The 15,197-nt window shown below is 46.1% G+C and overlaps 1 protein-coding gene across 1 annotated transcript, besides 1 other annotated feature; it reads left to right on the top strand.

Annotated features, from left to right (window-relative positions):
* The first annotated feature begins 527 nt into the window (after nt 1–527).
* Nucleotides 528–13,025, top strand: GPX6 (glutathione peroxidase 6). Its single transcript, NM_182701.1, has 5 exons — nt 528–664; nt 5,417–5,570; nt 9,892–10,009; nt 10,519–10,618; nt 11,823–13,025. Exons 1-5 carry the CDS (start codon nt 578–580, stop codon nt 12,027–12,029), a joined length of 666 nt encoding a protein of 221 aa, NP_874360.1. The 5' UTR covers nt 528–577; the 3' UTR covers nt 12,030–13,025.
* Nucleotides 13,263–13,463: a silencer, noted in NCBI's record as "peak5745 fragment used in MPRA reporter construct". NCBI's record gives its function as "represses an SCP1 promoter by STARR-seq MPRAs in K562 erythroleukemia cells {active_cell/tissue: K562}" and the evidence as "EXISTENCE:reporter gene assay evidence [ECO:0000049][PMID:32103011]".

Genomic DNA, 15,197 nt, shown 5'->3' with positions numbered 1-15,197 from the left:
AAACTGGGGACAGACACATTAACTTTGATTTCAGATTCAAGGAGCTAGTCAGTGGCACTGACAGGTATTGAATTCAATGGTCTTTATAGCCTCGTAGTCAAAGTTTCAGCCATTTTTTTGAGCTAAAAGCAGGAGAAGGGTAAAGAACTTGGGAATGTGTGTAGGTCTGTTCCATAAGAGGCAAGCATCTGACCTGCTGCCTTAAGGAGCTGCATAGCTGGATCAGGTATCAGTGATCAGGACATAGATTATAGGCTTTTGAAAAGAGTTCAGAAATCTGAGATAACTAAAAGCTTGTCTTTCAAGAGAGTTCATAAGAACTCAACCCCACCCAGACTTTAGTTTCAAGAGGCAGAGAATGCCTTTTGTGTGAAGCTGGCAGAGGCAACGCAGGTGGAGCAGGCTCGATGGTGAGGGGTTTACAACTGAAGAGGAAGGGGGTGTGTGTAGGGAGTGGAGGTGGGTGTGTATGAATGCCACTCTGCGATTGGAGGGTGCTTCTTCAAATTGGTCCCTGCCAGGGGCTCAAAAGGGGCTGAAATCCTGGGGACCTCAGAGTCGTCTAAAACTCCTAGCCATGTTCCAGCAGTTCCAGGCCTCCTGTCTTGTCCTGTTTTTCCTGGTTGGCTTTGCTCAGCAGACCCTAAAGCCTCAAAATAGGAAGGTGAGCATGGGGCAGGGGATCCGAGCTGATTCCAGCACGTGATGACCAACCTGGCTGCCAGAGTTGCAAGGAGTTCTCTACTCTCCCCTTTCGAAGGACAAGATCTGCATTCCCAGCCCTTCTTCACAAATCCTGACATTGCTATCCTTAGCAGGCTCTCCCTAAATCCACTGTCTCTTACTTGCATCTTTTCCTCTGCACCTAGTAGCTCTTTGAACTGAATGTATGTGGAGTGGGGTTGGGGGGCTGCCTCAGCACATTCCCCTTTGCCACTTCCCCCTGGTGGCCCCTTGATAGCCTAGAGCCTGTCCCCTTCATGCTGGTCCATAACTTGGAGTAGCGCTGTGGATCCCAACAAATGAGGCATGAAGTCGCAAATGGATTGACAGGGAGGCTGCCCTGGTTACTCCTGGAGAGGCTGCTCAGCCAGAAACCCAGAGGGAGAGGTGAGAGAATCTGGGCTTGCGATCTGCACTAGGAGTTTCTAGGTCACAGAAAGAGGAGCTCCCCACCACCACACCCCTAGAAAAATAAAATGCATAAGGCCAATATGGTTGTCCACTAATATTAATTTTAGGGAAGGTCATGAGGTGAGGTAGAGACAAAGCTCAGCTCAGAGTAGGCTTTGTTCTCAGATCTTGGTGTTGCTCCCAAATCTCCTGATGCCATTTAGAAAAGTCCCCCCACTGGATGTCCATAGTCACCCCTGTGAAAGATGTGTATATATGTCTTAGGATGCGGACTGAGCAGATCACCTGAGGCACCCGCAAATTTTAACTTTAAAATCAGATGAATTTATTCAAAAGCAGCCTCAGTGGTGGCCATATGCCAATTATATATCTTTTGTTAGTTCCTTTCTGTCCTCTATAAAAGGTGGCGTACAATGCCTATCATATAATGCAGTGATTCCCAGACTTGAGCTTACCTAAGAGATAGCTGGTTAAAGCACAATTGCTGGGCCCCACCCAAGACTTTCTGATTCAGTAAGTTTTAGGGGGAGCCCAGGAATTTGCATTTCTAAAATGCTTCCGGTTGATACTCATGCAGGTCTCCACACCTGAAGCTTTGAGCTTTAATCTCTGTTACTGGATTCATATGAAGTGTAAGATGGTGCCTATTACAAGCCATAAGACAGCTTACTTACTTACTTTCCAGAAAGGTAACAGATCACTTGAACGGACAACCTCCAAGGGTCATCAGATCTATGTCAGCCACTGCTGCCTGGTTGGGTGTGGAATTCTCGATGTAAAATAGCATCTTGTGAATTAAAAGCTGTGTTCTAGGGTATTCTGTCTTCTTCAAACAGATGTAAGCAAACTAGAGCAGAACTGAAAACTGGGTAGGAAGGATTGAGCTCTTCGAGTCTGCAGTTTTCGTGGGATTCTGCATCTCATTTCACAGAGTGACATCCTCATGAGAACCAAATCTTTGGAAGTTGTTGCACCCAGAGCTAAGGTAGCACAAAGGCAAGAAAATGGAGGCATACAAATGACAGCTCACATGGTGATTTCCGTGTGACTTTTTATTATAGTAGCAAGAAAGACAAATGCTGGAAATTATTTAGCTCAGACGTAAGGTGTCATGAAGGCAAAACGAATGCAGGCATATAGATGATAACTCCATCATAGTGGGTTTCTTAGGCTAATGTTCCCAAATATTGTGACTAATGTATATGCACAGATGTGTACAGAAATATGGACTTGAAAGGGCTTGCCCCTTGGTCAAGCCTCCTTCTCTCCAAGGATAATGAAGGAGAAGCTGTGGCCTTGTGTCGTGGTAACAGACTCAGAAGATGATAAAGAGTTTCTTGCCCCACTCTGCCCACAGTAGCTCACCCACAGGCAATTCCTTCCCTGCATGGGGTATGCTTTTATGGACTGAGATCCTGTGAAGCCCAGTTTAAATTACTCTAAAATTCTATGATTTTTCTTCATATGGCCAGGACTTATAGCCTCTCTTACCACATAACATGTTAGCCTTTTGTTCCAGGTTCTGTATGCCTTTTATTCTTGGCATGCTTGTGGGTAGAAAAGTTTTTCCGCTCTGTGCTATTTTATGAACTTTAATTCATGAGCAGTTCAGGCTGTTTCACCACAATATAAAGAAGTGGGTGCCAAGGATGAGTTTTCAAGGTACCAGCGAAACCGGAAAAGTTCCCTTGTCCCTCTCACAAGGCATGCGACGGGGCGTGTGGCTCGCTGCTTCAGTTCCCCGCCGCTCAAACCTGTACGGGAGCAGAGGGGGAGCATACAAACTAGCAGATTGTGGAGCTCCAACCTTAAGGCAGTGTCTAGGAGTGAATGTTTACAACTGAAGCCCCAGTGGGCGTGTGTTACAGGGTGCTCTTAGTTCAGCCACCCATAGGCAGCTTGTGTTAGCTCCATTAGACCCCTGCCTTATCACAAAGACAGAGGACTTTCTGTATCCCAGGGATCTTGCCTTGGTTTACGAGAAGAATCGGATCACACGTGGGCATGGAGAATAAGTGCAAGGTTTTATTAAGTGGAAGTAGCTCTCATCAGATGGGGGAGCCAAAAGAGAGATGGTTTTTCCCTGGAGCCCGGCCAAACTCCATGTCCTTCCGCTGTCAATGGCCTTCCAGTGTGCTCCTACTGTGTTCAAAATTGGTGGGTTTTTGGCCTCACTGACTTCAAGAATGAAACCCAGTTCTTTAAGGCAGCGTGTCCAGAATTTGTTCCTTCTGATGTTCGGATGTGTTCAGAGTTTGTTCCTTCTGGCGGGTTTGTGGTCTTGCTGGCTCAAGAGTGAAGCTGCAGAGGCTCAAGAGTGAAGCTGCAAAGCCTCGCGGTCAGTGTTACAGCTCTTAAGGCAGCGCGTCTGGAGTTGTTCATTCCTCCCGGTGGGTTCGTGGTCTCGCTGGCTTCAGGAGTGAAGCTGTAGACCTTCACGGTGAGTGTTACAGCTTGTAAAGGCAGTGTGGACCCCAAGAATGAGCAGCAGCAAGACTTATTGCAAAGAGCGAAAGAACAAAGCTCCCACAGTGTGGAAGGGGACCCACGGGGGCTGCCACTGCTGGCTCCGGCAGCCGCCTTTTATTCTTATCTGGCCACACCCACATCCTGCTGATTGGTCCATTTTACAGAGAGCCGAGTGGTCTGTTTTGACAGGGTGCGGATTGGTGCCTTTACAATCCCTGAGCTAGACACAAAAGTGCTCCACTTCCCCACTAGATTAGCTAGATACAGAGTGTCCACACAAAGGTTCTCCATGTCCCCACCAGAGCAGCTAGATACAGAGTGTCAACTGGTGCATTCACAAACCCTGAGCTAGACACAGGGTGCTGATTGGTGTGTTTACAAACCTTGAGCTAGATACAGAGTGCCGATTGGTGTATTTACAATCCCTTAGCTAGACATAAAGGTTCTCCCAGTCCCCACCAGACTCAGGAGCCCAGCTGGCTTCAGCCAGTGGATGCCGCACCACGGCCGCAGGCCGAGCTGCCTGCCAGTCCCGCGCCCTGCGCCCGCACTCCTCAGCCCTTGGGTGGCCGATGGGACTGGGCGGCGTGGAGCAGGGGGCGGTGCTCGTCGGGGAGGCTCGGGCCGCGCAGGAGCCCACGGAGCGGGAGGAGGCTCAGGCATGGCGGGCTGCAGGTCCCAAGCCCTGCCCCGCGGGGTGGCAGCTAAGGCCCAGCGAGAAGTCGAGCACAGCAGCTGCTGGCCTTGGTGCTAAGCTCCTCAGTGCCCGGGGCCGGCTGGCCGCTCCGAGTGCGGGGCCCGCTGAGCCCACTCCCACGTGGAATTCGCGCTGGCCCGCAAGTGCCACGCGCAGCCCTGGTTCCCTCCAGCGCCTCTCCCTCCACAACTCCTCGGAAGCTGAGGGGGCCGGCTCCGGCCTTGGCCAGCCCAGAAGGGGGCTCCCACAGTGCAGCCGCGGGCTGAAGGGCCTCTTAAGCGCGACCAGAGTGGGCGCCAAGGCCGAGGAGGCGCGGAGAGCGAGCAAAGGCTGTGAGGGCTGCTAGCATGTTGTCACCTCTCACCACGATGGTGCATTGCTCTCCACGTCCAGCCAGTTGAGTGTGTTCCTCCGCTGATGTGCTTCTCTCCACATCCAGCGCCAGTGCCTCTGGCTGCTAGGGTCTCAGAGTTTTTATAGGCACAGACCCATTTGAGTGAGAAGGCAGGAGTGCCTGTCCTCATGTAGGTCCGTAGGCACAGGCCCGAGGGTGGAGCCCTAGTTAGGTACCCGCCTTTCTCTACCCAGCACTTCCCGGCCGCCCCTCCCCCATCACCAGTGATTACCCCATTGGCAAGCCTGGAAAGGCCCTTCAGTGGCATCTGGAGAAGTTATGGGCCTGATTTTGGGGGACAGGAATTACAATATAAGAACATGTAGATGAGAAGTTTGTGCAAAACTTACTTATGAGAAATCCTGCAAAATCTGTTAAGAGTATCTGAGAGAGGACGGCATGACTTGAACGGAGTGTTAGGATGTCGGGGGAGAATGCAGTGTCAGGGAACAGAGGTAAATGTTATTAATCTTCTGGAAACGGGAAGAATATTATGAAATGCTTGTCTTGCCACACACACAAAAAAATGGCTTGTAATTTAGAAGACATAAATTCTAGCTATGGCATCAGCTCTAACTAAAAATTTTACTTGGAAAGATCCCTTCAGTTCTTAGAATTTCAAGATATTACATGAAGGGTCTTCGAGTGTTTTGAAAAAGTCCACAAATGTTGGGAATTATTTTTTATCTTATATCGTTATGGTTATTTTTGTAAAATTCCAGGTGGATTGCAACAAAGGGGTAACAGGCACCATCTATGAGTATGGAGCCCTCACCCTCAACGGCGAGGAGTACATCCAATTCAAGCAGTTTGCAGGCAAGCACGTCCTGTTTGTCAATGTGGCCGCCTATTGAGGCTTGGCAGCTCAGTATCCTGGTAAGAACTCACGTTTCAACTCTTTTGGAAGCAGCATTGCCAGATAGCCATATTCTAATTCCAGAAGGTTTTACCAATGTGTTATTGGAGGATGCGATGGGAGAACTGATCAGGTGACTCTACCTCCCTAAATGCTGCTCCTGCTCTGCTCCTTAGAATATCAGGATAATTATTTCCAGATTTGAGAACTAAGACCTTCCCAAAGACTTAAAGACCACCAGGAGCACACTTGCAGTTGAACAAGTTGAATGTGTTACTCGGTACCCTGAAGGAGAACATGTTCTATAGAGAACCATGGGGTTTCTTAATAAGAAAGTATTAGAAAGGACTTACTATAGAATCTGAACTTTTGTTACGTGATTTGGAGACGAGTTCAAGGAATTGAAGTTCTGTTCTGGATTGGATGCCATCAAGAACTGTGAGCAATTATATGATTTGGTGTCTTAATCAATCATATCTACATGGGGAGAGAAACGAAGACTAAAGCTGTAACTGGTAAAGAAGCAGCAGTCACTCATATTGGCAAGAATAGGGTGGTACCTGGTCATTGTTGCGATTTGGACAATGTTCGTGCTTTGTCTATGTTCAGTTACAATTATGCAGTGGCCTTGTTTTTGCCTTGATTCATCATGATCACATGTTATGTGATATTGTTTGTATGAAACTGTTCTATGAAGTTGTTTATGTTTCCTAGCAGAGTGCTAAAGCCTAGCTGTGACTCCCAGGCCAGATACCTGGCTTTCAAGGACTGATTTTATGCTTCTCATCGGTTACTTCTGATAAAAACAGGAGAGATGAGTGATCTTTGATATTCTGGAAAATGCCCTTGGGTTCTGTAGGCACCTGCAAATGACCAAGAGGGAAATGAAGTTTTCTGTCTGGGCAGCCTTTGATTGGTACAAGGGCTGTGTAGTGTGACTGGCAATGTAGAAGAATGCTCCATCTCGCCAACCTTGGCCTAACCTTCTGTGGTAGCTGAGGTGTGTTTCCATTTTCTTTGTGCCCTTATTGGAGAAGAGTTTTGCATTACTGTTGGTCCAGAAAAGGTTATTTAAAATTTTAGATCAATTATACTAGAGATAGATACAGCTTTGGACGGGCCAAGAACTTTATTTTATGCTTTTAAAAAATGGCTCAAGATAAATTTAAAAGATTTATTGCACCAAATGCCACAGAGAAGTGGATCAAAATAATACATGAACAAATTTTGTTTTGTTTTGAGACAGTCTCGCTCTGTCGCCCAGGCTGGAGTGCAGTGGTGTGATCTCAGCTCACTGCAACCTCTGCCTCCTAGGTTCAAGTGATTCTTGTGCCTCAGCCTCCCGAGTAGCTGTGATTACAGGCATGCACCACTATATCTAGCTAATTTTTTTTTTTTTTTTTTTGCATTTTTAGCAGAGGCAGTGTTTTGCCATGTTGGCCAGGCTGGTCTCGAACTCCTGACCTCAAATGATCCACAAGTCTTGGCCTCCCAAAGTGCTGGGATTACAGGCATGAGCCACCGCACCTGGTCTATACAAAAACAAGTTTTAAGAAAAATTTTCCACACATTGACACTATTATCTGTTCAGCTGATCAAAAATATATAAACCCTATCAATTTTTCTTAATGGATTTTCAGTAATAAAAATCCCAGAATTTTAGCCCTTTTAAGTAACACTTAAAGTCAAGCATATTGTAATCTCATGTCTAAAAGATCTGGCTCACCAAATTTTGACATTTTAAAATTAACATTCAGAGGATGCTACATGATTTAAGCCAAAATTCTAATAAAATTCCGGCTCCTCCAAAGTACAAATGGCTCACATTTACCAAGAGTAGCTGAATACTTTTCCAATTTAATGGTAAAATTATGCATAAAAAGATGCTCTCAAAAGTACAGATTAGGATAAGAATCACACATTTAAAATAATTTGGGGGTCCCTTTGTTATTACTATTATTTTTGAGACAGGGTCTTGCTCTGTCGCCCAGGCTGGAGTGCAGGGGCACAATCTTGGCTCACTGTAACCTCTGCCTCTGGGATTCAAGCTATTCTCTTGCCTCAGCCTCCCAAATAGCTGGGACTACAGGTGCATATCACCTCGCCCAGCTAATTTTTTTTTTTTTTAATAGAGACTGGGTTTCACTATGTTGGTCAGGCTGCTCTCGAACTCCTGGCCTCAAGTGATCCAACTGCTTCAATCTCCCAAAGTGCTGGGATTATAGGCATGAGCCACCACACCCGGCCTCAATTTTTTTATTTTTATGTACACTCAAGTCTAGGGAAAACCTGAAAAGCTACAGACTAAATTTTTATTATAAGAGCCCAAACAACAATTTAGTATCATTTAGTAAGTGAGAAAGTTAAAAGAACTTGCCAAAGGAATAGAATCAAGTTCTGCCAATTGTGTCTACTATAGGACCTCAGGACCTAGGTATTAGAGCCCAAACGACAGTTTTGTATCATTTAGCAGGCAAGAATTCTCCTCCCTTCAAAAAGTTAAATTTGAAAAATATGGTAAATTTTAAAAGTTGTGATGTGTAAACGCAGTTCCATGGAATGTGAAGCTGCTCTTAAATTTGTTTTAATTTAATTTAATTTTAACTTAAATTTGCTACATATTGAATAGGCAATATACTTCCAACATTCAAAATTCAAGAGATATAAAAAGGTTTAACAGTGGCACTTGCCATGTTCCCTTCTCTTTAGGCAACCATTATTATCAGTTTATGGTGTATATTTCCAGAAATCTGTTATGCATATACAAGCAAACATTTCTCTCTCACTTTCTTTCTCTCAAGCACATACACATACACAAACATACACACAGAAATGATTATGCACATTGCTTTTTCACATATATCACATACAGTGGGGACAGGAGTGGTGGCTCACACCTATAATCCCAGCACTTTGGGAGACCAAGGTAATCCCAGCACTTTGGGAGACCAAGGTGGCCGGATCACTCTTGAACATCAGGAGTTTCAGACCAGCCTTGCCAACATGGTGAAACCCTGTCTGTACTAAAATTACAAAAAATTAGCTGGGCATGGTGGCACATGCCTGTAATCCCAACTACTCAGGAGGCTAAAGCATGAGAATCTCTTGAACCTGGGAGGCGGAGATTGCAGTGAGCTGAAATCCTGCCACTGCACTCCAGCCTGGGTGACAGAGAGACTCTGTCTAAAAACAAAACAAAAAAACATGGTGAGCTTCCTCATTCATTTTAAGGCATAGTATTCCATTGTGTTGCTGTGATATAATTTATTAAATTAGTTCATGAGAATTTTAAAGAGCACCTCATTCAAATTTTACTCCAGATGAGAAAATTGAGAGAATTAAAGAAACTTGCCAAAGGAATAGAATCAAGGTCTGTTAAGTGTGTCTGCTATAGAAAGGAAATATTCTTGATGGCCAAAGATAAGAGAGAGATGAGTTTCGATAGCAACCGAAGAACTATAGAAAAACAGGAAGGCACTCTCTATTTAAGAGGAGGTTCTTAGGGGACATTCCAGCAGGCAGAGCTGAATCTGAATGACAATGGCCAGTACAAGTTCTGAGGTCTGAATAAATCTTACCTGAAAATAGCTGAAGATGGAAATTATGATTCAAGTCTAAACAGACAAGCTGGAAGGTTCCTGACAGTAGTAAAGAGCAATTTGGAGTTTATGGCCTGGCGTCCCAGGGAGTGTTCCAGGGCATGTTGCAGCATCAGTTAGGTCACTGGAATTGAGGAGAGGGTACAGAATACTGTAGAGGATAGCCTTGGAATTTCTCTTTCTCTACCACTCCCAGGGTGGAGCACCAAGGAGTACTCCTGGGAATGGGACTGGAACTGGAGTGTCTGGTTGTGTCACCATGGGACATTGTATGAGTGGGGCCGGGGGGATGCAGGGATAGGTGGGTAGGATTTCCATTTTGTTTGCTTTTTCCTTACAATTTTTTTTGATCAATTCATCAACTAAGGAAGACAGTGGCATTCAAATCTGACTTCTCTTTAGAGTCAAACAGGACTCCCACACAAGGCTACCAACGTGTGTGTGTGTGTGTGTGTGTGTGTGTGTTTAAAAAAAAAAATAAGAGTTCTCATTGGATGGTAAAGTGTAGCCAGGCATGGGAGCTACTGTATAAGAAAAACAGCAGCCATTCAGATGCATTTCTGGAAACGTGTGCTCTAGTCTTTTTTTTTTTTCTCTACTCCTTTGATCTCTGTAACCTTGAATCTTTCCCTTCTTAGTCCTCGGTTTATTCATGTGATAAATGGATACATTCAGTGATCTTTCACTGCTTGAGGTAGGCCTCCTGACCAGCCCACCCCTGCTATTCATTGTCCACTTACAGAACTGAATGCACTACAGGAGGAGCTGAAGAATTTTGGTGTCATTGTGTTGGCCTTTCCCTGCAACCAGTTTGGAAAACAAGAACCAGGAACAAACTCAGAAATACTTCTTGGTCTCAAGTGAGTGCTTGCATGGGACCCTGCAGATGCCCTGTCGGGATTTCCATTCCTCATTCCACCTAGATGCCTGCCTATTCTGGAAACTTCTGGGATAGGCCATAGATACATGGGTTGAAGCATATCCTTATGATGTTTTGAATTCAATCTATTCTATTCACAGTGCTCAAATATTCTCTTTACTTTTGAATTATTTGATGGTGAGGCTAAGGGAAGATTGAATGGAAAAGAAGCATAGAGAAAAGAAGGGAGTATAAGAAATAAGAAATGGAAGTGAAGCAGGAAACCTAAGCTCAAAATATTGCCTTCCAATTTTCTTAGAATTCTCTATTGGCGCCATAAAGCCTATTGCATAAAATCCTGCTTCCCACAGACTATCTTTTCTTATCTTCCCTGTGCACAGCCTCTTCCCTTTATCTTGAATTTCCTGTGGTAGTGAATTGGTGGTGGCCATTATTTTCCATCCATGTCTTAATTTGTATCTTGCTGGGAACAACTTTGGTTCACTGCAGGTATGTGTGTCCAGGTAGTGGCTTTGTCCCCAGTTTCCAGCTCTTTGAGAAAGGGGATGTGAATGGAGAAAAAGAACAGAAGGTCTTTACTTTCCTGAAGGTGCATGAGTATAAACCTGGCATGGATGGGTTAGCTAGAAATGCTCTGAAAGCAGTGGGGCTCATGTCTAGGGTTGTGGTTGGACTCCTTGGAAAAGAGATGCTCAGATAAGTTCAAGGCTCATGGCAATATCTGCTGTGATGCTTTAGCTTTAAGTAGAGGAAACCCATGATGGACAATAGCTCTGACATGGACTACCCTCCTGTATTGAATGGAATGATTCATTCATTCAGCAATCATTTATCAGATCTCCAGTATGTGCTATATGAGTTAACAAACATTAATAGCGCATAGTCTGTTCCCTGAAGGAACTCACATTTAATCAGGAGACAGACATGGATGATACAGAATACCATGTGGTAAATGCTTTTAGAGTCACAGAGTGGTAAAAATACAGAATACCAGGATAGAAGGACCCCCGAGGGTCTCTTTGTCTACTCAGCCCGAAATGCTGGTCTGCAGAACAATGCTGGTCCTGCTGAAATTTTCACTCATCCACAGCAAACAAGGGAAAAAAGACAATGCAGAATTTTTCATAAAGCTCAACTTATTGAATATAAGACCAACATTTATTCTGACATTAAATTACTATTACGTTTACCCATATAAATTGCCCTTTACTTACTCAAAAATGGTGCTATAATCAATTTTATGTGGTACAACTGAGTATTTAAAAATCCCTTAATTTTTAAATGTGTGCTTACAGTAGACTTTTAATTTTTCTTATTGGCAAAATGAGTATTAGTGATTCTACGTTAATATCCAAGGAAATAGTTATTGAAATTTTACTGGCTTATGAAGCCTATGAAGCCCCAAACTCTGCGAGCCACTACTCTAAATCAATCTCTTTTTTTTTCTGCTAAGGAAACGAACTGTAGAAATGATATGACTTGCCCAAGGAAACAGAAAATAGTCTTTTACTGAATCATCGTGATAAAACCATGGAAATAGAGGAAAGACAGGGAAAGGAGGAATGCTTTCTATTTACCATTATACTCTCTAACTCTCGGTTATTTGGTAGTTGGTGTATTGGTATTGATACATTGCAGTGTCTGTGGTTGATTGGAAGCATGCAAAGTAGTTAATATATTAAAATACATAATGGTGAGTAGACTCTCTAGTCTGGAGATAAAACTGTACCACACAGAAGTAGAAATAAAGTAGAAATAAATGTATATCTCTACTTTCTATATCTCTGCTCCAGAACTCCTGCCCTCCGACCTCTGATCTTTTGGGCTCATCAAGCCAACTCTTCTGGGAGCCCATGAAGGTCCATGATATCCGCTGGAACTTTGAGAAATTTCTGGTGGGGCCCGATGGAGTCCCTGTCATGCATTGGTTCCACCAGGCTCCAGTCAGCACAGTCAAGTCAGACATCCTGGAGTACCTAAAGCAGTTCAATACCCACTAGGAAGGGCTAGCGACTGACAGAAATAACTACCCTGTCTCCCACCTGCAGGAATGTCTAACAAAGCATCCATCTTCCTCCTTCTTTGCTCCACACTCGTGCCTACCCAGCCTCCTGATGACCAAACCATCCTGTACTACCCAAGCACCTGCTTAGCATGTGTGTGTAGCTGTGTGTGTGTGTGTGTGTGTGTGTATGGATATGTAGAATTGTATTTGTTGGTATATGCATAGGTGTATGTATGGTGTGTGTGTGTGTGTGTGTGTGTGTGTTTGAAGATTAAGGAAAAGAACACCTATCTCTCCAACTCTCTGATCCTGAAATATCTATTCCAAAGGAAAATCATATTTTAGGGTAGATGAATCAGACTATCCTGTGTCCCTAAAAAAGCAATCCCGAGAAGTTGTGACATCTATCCCTTCCCCTTCCTGAAAGTTTTAAAGAAAGCAGGAGCTGGCCGCAAGACTCTAGGCCTCCTTCATAGCCTCTCTCCTCTAAGATAGGCATGCATTGTTAAACTCTTTTCTCCTTAATTCTCCTTTATTCCCCTGCCACCCAGTAGTTCTCATGTAGGACCTCTGAAGGCAGAGTGAGAGCAGAAACCCCACCTCACATGAAGGGAAGGGCATCTCCATGATGGTGGATCCCAAAACCCCTCTGGGTCGCACCCTGCCAGAGCCTTCCTTGGTGCCTGTCCCTTAGTGCATTCAGGTCATGGCACCTGGGCAGGGGTGTCCCTGTATTCTGAATGATGGGCTTTCTCCTCACCCTGAGCCTCCTCAACTTTAAGCTTATTTTGATCACTGTCTCAAATTTAAAAATTCTGCAGCAACCTGGCTCTGTGTGGTGTTTTCCCAGTCCCATATTATGTCCAGTCATACTTCTTCTTTCTCTGTCACTTTGTCCCTGCTTTCTTGATTCCCTTGTCTTGTTCTTCAGTATTTTGTTTTTCTCAAAAATGCTCTAGAACTTTCCTTGGCACATATAAAAGCACGGCTGGAACTGGTTGCTCAGAGCTGCTGTGACCGTGAGCACAGATCTCTTCGTGTCAGGTCCCTCTGCACCCTCCCGTTCAGGTCTCTTGACCAGGCCCCTACATGACAGGAATCCTTGCCTCTCAAAGAATCCTCTCTCTCTCTCTACAACAAATATGCATATGTTTGTTTTTTTTTTTAAGTATTTATTGATCATTCTTGGGTGTTTCTCAGAGAGGGGGATTTGGCAGGGTCATAGGACAATAGTGGAGGGAAGGTCAGCAGACAAACATGTGAACAAAGGTCTCTGGTTTTCCTAGGCAGAGGGCCCTGCTGCCTTCTGCACTGTTTTTGTCGCTGGGTAGTTGAGATTAGGGAGTGGTGATGACTCTTAACCAGTATGCTGCCTTCAAGCATCTGTTTAACAAAGCACATCGTGCACCGCCCTTAATCCATTTAACCCTTAGTGGACACAGCACATGTTTCAGAGAGCACAGGGTTGGGGGTAAGGTTATAGATTAACAGCATCCCAAGGCAGAAGAATTTTTCCTAGTACAGAACAAAATGGAGTCTCCTATGTCTACTTCTGTCTACACAGACACAATAACAATCTGATCTCTCTTTCTTTTCCCCACATTTCCCCCTTTTCTATTCGACAAAACCGCCATTGTCATCATGGCCCGTTCTCAATGAGCTGTTGGGTACACCTCCCAGACGGCGTGGCGGCCGAGCAGAGGGGCTCCTCACTTCCCAGACAGGGCTGCCGGGCAGAGGGGCCCCCCCACCTCCCAGACGGGGCGGCGGCCGGGCAGAGGGGCTCCCCACTTCCCAGACCGGGCAGCTGGGCAGAGGCGCCCCCCACCTCCCGGACTGGGCGGCTGGCCGGGCAGAGGCTGCCCCCCACCTCCCGGACGGGGCGGCTGCCGGGCGGAGACACTCCTCACTTCCCAGACGGGGCGGCTGCCGGGCGGAGGGGCTCCCCACTTCCCAGACCAGGCGGCTGCTGGGCGGAGGGGGTCCTCACTTCTCGGACGGGGCGGCCGGTCAGAGACGCTCCTCACCTCCCAGACGGGGTGGCGGCGGGGCAGAGACACTCCTCAGTTCCCAGATGGGGTCGCGGCCGGGCAGAGGCACTCTTCACATCTCAGACGGGGCGGCGGGGCAGAGGCGCTCCCCACATCCCAGATGATGGGCGGCCGGGCAGAGACCTCCTCACTTCCTAGACGGGATGACGGCCGGGAAGAGGCGCTCCTCACTTCTCAGACTCGGCGGCCGGGCAGAGGGGCTCCTCACATCCCAGACGATGGGCGGCCAGGCAGAGACGCTCCTCACTTCCTAGACGGGGTGGCGGCCGGGCAGAGGCTGCAATCTCAGCACTTTGGGAGGCCAAGGCAGGCGGCTGGGAGGTGGAGGTTGTAGCGATCCGAGATCACGCCACTGCACTCCAGCCTGGGAAACGTTGAGCACTGAGTGAGGGAGACTCCGTCTGCAATCCCGGCACCTCAGGAGGCCGAGGCTGGCAGACCACTCGCGGTCAGGAGCTGGAGACCAGCCCGGCCAACACGGCGAAACCCCGTCTCCACCAAAAAATACGAAAACCAGTCAGGTGTGGTGGCCCGCGCCTGCAATCCCAGGCACTCGGCAGGCTGAGGCAGGAGAATCAGGCAGAGAGGCTACAGTGAGCCCAGATGGCGGCAGTACAGTCCAGCCTCGGCCCGGCATCAGAGGTAGACAGTGCAAAGGGGAGAGGAGGACCGTGCAAAAGGGAGGGGGAGGGGGAGGTGGAGGGGGAGAGGGAGAGGGAGACGGAGAGGGAGAGGGCATATATTTCTGTTTATAAAATTAATTCATGCTCACTGTTAAAATCTGAAAGCACATAAAAGTAAAAAAGCATAACAAAACAAAGTGGAACAAAACCCACTCCTAATCAGAGGTGCAAAGGACCTGCTAGGAAGCCCTATCTGCCCCGTGCTGTTTTATAGTTAAAATACAGTGTTTTATAATTCAAGCAGATTTCAGAAAACCAGATATTAAGGAAAGAAATTAGATGAGGAAGTAAAATAAAATCACTGTTTTTCTTTCTCTTTTTACAAATTACTTGGAACATAGGTATTAGCACTTAAAAATATTTTTTGCACTTAAAAAATGCAGGAAATTTAAATCAGTGAGTAATTTCAAACATTATGGGGATCGTAAT

Source organism: Homo sapiens, chromosome 6 (genome assembly GCF_000001405.40).
Source record: "Homo sapiens chromosome 6, GRCh38.p14 Primary Assembly".
NCBI lineage: Eukaryota > Metazoa > Chordata > Mammalia > Primates > Hominidae > Homo > Homo sapiens.
The sequence above is the reverse complement of the archived record's forward strand: the minus strand, read 5'-3'. Positions and strand labels throughout refer to the sequence as shown.